The sequence below is a fragment of the Homo sapiens genome, chromosome 1 (genome assembly GCF_000001405.40).
Source record: "Homo sapiens chromosome 1, GRCh38.p14 Primary Assembly".
In the NCBI taxonomy this organism is placed as follows: domain Eukaryota; kingdom Metazoa; phylum Chordata; class Mammalia; order Primates; family Hominidae; genus Homo; species Homo sapiens.
The window spans coordinates 153,061,608-153,068,559 of record NC_000001.11 but is presented as its reverse complement, the minus strand read 5'-3'; positions in this window follow the sequence as shown (position 1 = coordinate 153,068,559).

Sequence of the window (6,952 nt, the reverse complement as noted above, 5' to 3'; positions counted from 1 at the left end):
CTTTTTTTATGGCTGCATAGTATTTCATGGTGTGTATGTATCACATTTTCTTTATCTAGTCTATCATTGATGGGCACTTAGTTTGATTCCATGTCTGCTATTATGAATAGTGCTGCAATGAACATAACATGTGCATGTATCTTTATGACACAGAATGGTTTGTATTCCTTTGGGTATATACCAAGTAATGGGATTGCTGGTCGGAATGGTAGTTCTGTTTTTAGCTGTTTGAGTAATTGCCACACTGTTTTCCACAATGGTTGATCTAATTGACGCTTCCCCCAACACTGTATAAGCATTCGTTTTTCTCTGCAACCTCTCCTGAACTTTTTATTTTTTGACTTTGTAATAATAGCCATTATGACTGGTGTGAAATAGTTAGTATCTCATTGTGGTTTTGATTTACATTTCTCTAATGATCAGTGATGTTGAGCTTGTTTTTCATATACTTATTGGCTACATGTATGTTTCCTGTGAAATGTGTCTATTTCTGTCCTTTGCCCACTGTTTAATGGGGCTGTTTTTTTTTTCTTGTAAATTTGTTTAAATTCTTTATAGATGCTGAATATTAGAACTTTATCAGATGCATGCTTTACGAAACTTTTCTCCCATTCTGTAGGTTGTCTGTTTACTTTGTTGATAGTTTCCTTTGCTGTGCAGAAGCTCTTTGGTTTATCCTATTCATCAATTTTTCTTTTGTTGCAATTACTTTTGGTGTCTTTGTCATAAAATATTTTCCTGTCCCTATGTCCAGAATGGTATTGCCTAGGTTGTCTTCCAGGGTATTTGTAATCTAGCGCTCTACGTTTAAGTCTTTAATTCATCTTGAGTTGATTTTTGTATATAGTGTAAGGAAGGCATCCAATTTCAGTCTTATACATAGGGCTAGACAGTTATCCCAGCACCATTTATTGAATAGGGAGTTCTTTCCACATTGCTTGTTTTTGTCACATTTTTAGTGATCAGATAGTTACAGGTGTGTTGCTTTATTTCTGGGTTTCCTATTCTGTTCCATTAGTCTCTGTGTCTGTTTTGTACTAGTACCATGCTATTTTGGTTATTGCAGCCTTATAGTATAGTTTGCAGTCAGGTAGCATCATAACTCCAGCTTTGTTCTTTTTGTTTAGGATTACCTTGGCTATTGAAGCTAATTTTTGGTTTCATAGAATTGTATAATTGTTGTTTTTTTTTTTTGGTTCTGTGAAGAATGTCATTGGTAGTTTGATAGGAGAGGAATCACATTGAAATTGCTAACTGCTTTGAGGAGTTTGGCTATTTTAACTGTATTGATTCTTCCTGTTCATGAGCTTGGAATGTTTTTCCATTTATTAGTGTCATCTCTGATGTTCAGCAAGCTTTGTAGTTCTCTGTGTAGAGATCTTTCACCTCCCTGGTTAGCTGTTTTCCTAGGTATTTTATTCTTTTTGCCACTGTCGTGAATGGGATTGTGTTCCTGATTTGGCTGTTGGCTTGGCTGTTGCTGGTATATAGGAGTGCTAGTGATTGATTGACTGATTTTTGTATGTTGTTTTTGAATCCTGAAACATTGCTGAAGTTGTTTATCCGCTGAAAGAGCTTTCGTTCCGAGACTATAGGGTTTTTTAGATATAGAATCATGTCGTGTGCAAACAGGGATAGTTTGACTTCCTGCTTCTTATTTTGGTCGCCTTTCTACCCTTATCTTTCTTGATTGCTCTGGCCAGGACTTTCCATAGTATGTTGAATAGAAGTAGTGAGAGAGGGCATCCTTGTATTGTGCCAGTTTTCAAGGGGAATGCTTCCAGCTTTTCCCTATTCAGTATCATATTGGCTGTGGATTTGTTACAGATGGCTCTTATTATTTTGAGGAATATTCATTTGGTTAATATCTAGTTTACTGAGCGTTTTTAACATGAAGCAGTGTTGAATTGTATGGAAAGCTTTTTCTGCATCTATTGAGACAATCATGTGATTTTTGTCTTTAGTTCTGTTTATGTGATGAATCAAATTTATTGATTTGTGTATGTTTAACCATTCTTGCACCCCAGGGATAAAACCAACTTGATTCTGGTGGATAGGCTTTTTGATGTGCTGCTGGATTAGGTTTGCCAGTATTTTGCTGAGAATTTGTGCATTGATTTTCATTGAGGATATTGGCCTGAAATTTACTTTTTAGTGTTTGTGTCTCTGCAAGGTTTTGGTATCAAGATGATGCTGGCCTCATAGAATGAGTTAGGAGAAGTCCTCCTCTTCAACTTTTTGGGATAGTTTCAGCAGGAATGGTACCAGCTCTTATTTGTACATCAGGTAGAATTCATTTGTGAATATCCCTTTTGTCTTTTCTAACTGTGTTTATTTGAATATTTTCTCTTTTCTTCTTTATAGTCTAGTTAGCAGTCAATTTGTTTTATTATTTTTTAAAAGTAATTCCTGGATTTGTTGATATTTTGATTTTTTTTATATCTCAGTCTCCTTTAGCTTAGCTCTGATTTTGGTTATTTCTTGTCTTCTGATTGCTTTGAGGTTGGTTTTTTCTTGGTTTCCTCGTTCTTTTAGTTGTGATGTTAGGTTGTTACATTGATATCTTTCTAACTTTTTGATGTGAGCATTTAGTGCTATAAATTTCCTCTTAATACTGCATTAGCTGTGTCCACAGATTCTGGTATGTTGTATGTTCATTCTCATTAGTTTCAATGAACTTCTTGATTTCAGCCTTAATTTGATAATTTACTCAAAAGTCATTCAGGAGCAACTTATTAAATTTCCATGTAATTGTATGGTTTTGAGTGAATTTCTCAGTCGTGATTTCAAATTTCATGGTGCTGTCTTCTGAGAGATTGGTTGTTATGATTTCAGTTCTTTTGTGTTTGCTGAGGAGTGTTTTATTTCCCACCATGTGATTGATTTCAGAGTTTGTGCCATGTGGCTAAAAGAAGAATGTATAGTCTCTGTTTTTGGGTAGAGAGTTTTGTAGATGTCTATCAGGTCCATTTGGTTCTGTGCTGACTTCAAGTCCTGAATACACGTGTTAAATTTCAGCCACTATGATCTGTCTAATACTGTCAGTGGGGTGTTAAAGTCTCCCACTATTACTGTATGGGAGTCTAATTCTCTTTGAAGGGCACTGAGAAATTGCTTCATGAATGTGAGTGCTCCTGTGTTGGGTGCATTTATATTTAAGACAGTTGGGTATTCTTGTTGAATCCTTTACCACTGTGTAATGCTTTTTTTGGTCTTTATTGATTTTTGTTGGTTTAAAGTCTCTTTGTCTGAAATTGGGATTGCAATCCCTGCTTTTTTCTGTTTTGTGGTTGCTTCACTCTCAGTGCCTCCCCTCTGAAAATCTGTTAAAAGTGGGCCAGTCGTCTCTGTCCCTCAGTGGCAGCTATTCTACCTGGCTGCATCTAGTTGGCCATCTTGCCCAGAGCCACAGGAATTATCTGGTATGTTAAATGTTTTTGAGCATTTTTTGCATCAATATTCATGAGGAATATTGGTGTGTAGTTTTCATTCCTTGCAGTGTCTTTGTCTGGATTTTCTATCAGGGTAATCCTGGCTTCATGGAATAAGGCAGGAAGTATTCTCTATTTTAAGTTTTCTTTTTTGATAGAGTTTGAGAAGGATTGGTATATACTTCTCCAATAAATCCTTCTGGGTCAACACTTTTCTTTCTTGTGAGATTTTAGATTAATAATTCAATCTCCTTACTTTTTATACATCTCTTCAAATTTTCTATTTCTTTATGATTTGGTTTGGTAGACAGTATATTTCTAAGAATTTGTTCATTTCAACTGGGTTATCTGATAAGCCGACATAGAATTGTTTCGATGTTTTCCCTTAAAATTCTTTTCATTTCTGTAAAATCAGTAGTAACTTCCCCACTTTCTTTTAAGATTTTAGCTATTTGAGTGTTACATCATTTTTCTCTTCTGTGGTTAATCTAACAATTTGTCAGTTTTGTTGCCTTTTCAATGAAATAAAAGTTGGTTTTACTGATTTTCTCTATTGTTTTCTTGTCTTTTATTTTATTTATCTCCATTCTAGTCTCTCATATTTACTTTTTTTGGGTTTAGTTTACTTTTCTTTTTGTATTTCCCTAAGGTGTAACATGAAGTTATTGATCTGAGAATTTTTTAAATTAAAAATATATGTGGTTATGGCTGTAAATTTCCCTGTTAGCACTGCTTTTTCTGCAATCCTGAAGTTTTGGTATGATGTGTTTTTGTTGTCAGTAGTCTCAAGCTATTTCTAATTTTCCCGTGATTTCTTATTTGACCTGTTGGTTGTTTAAGAGTGTTTTTTTGTTTGTTTGTTTCCACAAATGTGTGAATTTTCCAGTTTTAAGTTGGTTATAGATTTTTAGTCTTATTCCAAAGTGATTGGAAAAGTACTTTGTATGATTTTAGTCTTTTAAAATATATTAACTTATTTTCTAGCCTAATATGTGGTCTATCCTGGAGGGTGTTCCATGTTCTCCTGAGAAAATTGTAGGGTATATCCTGCTGTTGGTGGGTACAGGGTTGTGTATTTTTCTGTTTGGACTAATTGGTTTATATTTTTAAGTCATCTATTTTCTTTTTGAACTTCTATTATTCTAGCCATTTTTGAAAGTGAAGTATTTAAGTTTTCAATATTTATTATAGAACTATCAATTTCTTTTAATTTCTCTCAATGTATCTTCATATGTTTTAGAGTTCTGATGTTAGGAAATGTATGTTTATAACTTCTATGTTTTCTGAGTGAATAAATCTCTTTATCAATATATATGTCCTTTATAGTCTCATGTAACAGTACTCAACTTAATTGTGTCTCATGTTATTGTAACCACCTCTGGTCTCTTGTGGCTACTATTTACATAAAATATCTTTTTCCATACATTACTTTCAACCTCTTTGTGTCTTTAGTTGTAAAGTTAGTCTCTTGTAAACAGCAAATAGTTGAATCAATTTTTTAATTTAAGATCCATGCTTTCAATTTCTGTTGCTGGGGAAAGTTTAATTCACTTACAGTTAAAATAATAACTCATGAGGTAGGTCCTCTTTTTGCATTTACTCTTTTCTCTATGTTATCTTTCATTAGTGCCTGATTTGTGTTTAGTTTTTTTTAATAGTAAAACTTTTTAAATTGTCTTTTTTCTGTCGTGTGTATTCTAAAATATTTATTTTGTGGTTACAGTGAAGACTGTATATAATATCTTAAAGTTATACTAATCTAATTAGCATTAACACCAACAATTCCAACTGCATAGAAAAATTAACTCATACAACCACCCCATCTTCTTTTTATGTTGAGTTCACAAATTACATCTTTATACACTGTATGTTCACTAACATATATTTGTAATTGTATTGTATACATTTGCATTTTAAATCTTGTAGAAAATAAAAAGTGGAGTTACAAGCTAAAATTACAATAATGCTGGCTTTTATGTACCTGTGCATGTCTATCAGATACCTTTATATCTTCATACAGTTTCTCTCCAGCATCCTTTTTTTTTGTGAGACAGTGTCTCTCTCTGTTGCCCAGGCTGGAGTGCAGTGGTGCGATCTCGGCTCACTGCAACCTCCACCTCCTGGGTTCAAGCAATTCTCCTGCCTCAGCCTCCTAAGTAGCTGGGATTATAGGCACACACCACCACACCCAGCTAATTTTTGTATTTTTAGTACAGATGGGGTTTCACCATGTTGGTCAGGCTGCTCTCGAACTCCTGACCTTGTGATCCGCCCACCTCGACCTCTCAACGTGCTGGGATTACAGGTGTGAGCCACCGCGCCTGGCCCAGCATCCTTTTATTTCAACCTGAGAGGCTCTCTGTATCATTTCTCATACAGAAAATCTAGGAGCAATGAACTGCCTCAAGTTTTGATTTCTGGAAATGTCATAAGTTTGCCCTCACTTTTAAGGAAATTTTGCCGGCTGTACAATTTTAGGTTGAAAGTGGTTTCTTTCTAGAATTCTACAGCGTTGAAAGAAATCACTATCAACATAGAATTCCACTGCCTTGGAGATCAGGAGGCAGTAGGATGATATATTGAAAATTACTTATTCAGAAAACTACTTCTGATAAGAATTTGGTCAACTACTTATTAAGGATCCCTTAGATATGATGATTTACTTCCTTCTTCCTGCTTTCAAGATTCTCTCTTTTGATAATTTAATTATAATGTGTCTCAGTGTGGGTGTCATTGAATTCATTGAACTTGGAGTTTGTTGTGCTTTTTGGATGTGTAATTTTGCATTTTACAGAAATCATATAAATGGAACCATTTTAGAAACAGTGTGTAGCCTTTGAGACTGACTTTTTTTAAACTTACCAGTTTGCATTTAAAATTCATTCATATCTTTGTATTTCTTGATAGATCATTCCATGTTATCACTGCATAGTGTTCCACTGCATGGGTATAATCCACCGTGGTTTATCGATTCATTTATTGAAGGGCATCTTGGTAGATCACGCTTCTTGGAATTTATGAATAAAGCTGCTGCAATCATTTGAATGCAGGTTATTTTTTGTTGAAATATTTTGAAATGTACTAGATCAAAATTTGCTGGATCATATTGTAAAATTGTGTTTATCTCTGTAAGACTGTTAGTTTTGATTGTTCTAATAATGTTTATGTTTTATTTCATATATTTCTAACTTACAGTAGAATTTCAGCTCTCCCCATATTAGATTTCAAACAGTTTTTTTCCTCTTCAAAATTTTTCACAATTTTGTTCGTGTTTCCTTATTTTCCTTTTTGACTTTTTTTGGAAGGAAACCACAGCCTATGCACATTCACTATCTTGAAAAGATTCTTATGAGGAGAAGTGTCTGATTCATTCTATCATTTACCATATGTCCTTCTTAATCTCATTAACATTAAGCAACAGGAGTACTTTACATTACTAATAGCTCTTGAAATTATGCTCTTAAATATTCTGATCTAACATATAGAGAAAATAACAGTAGAATCTATAAGGTCTATTCACT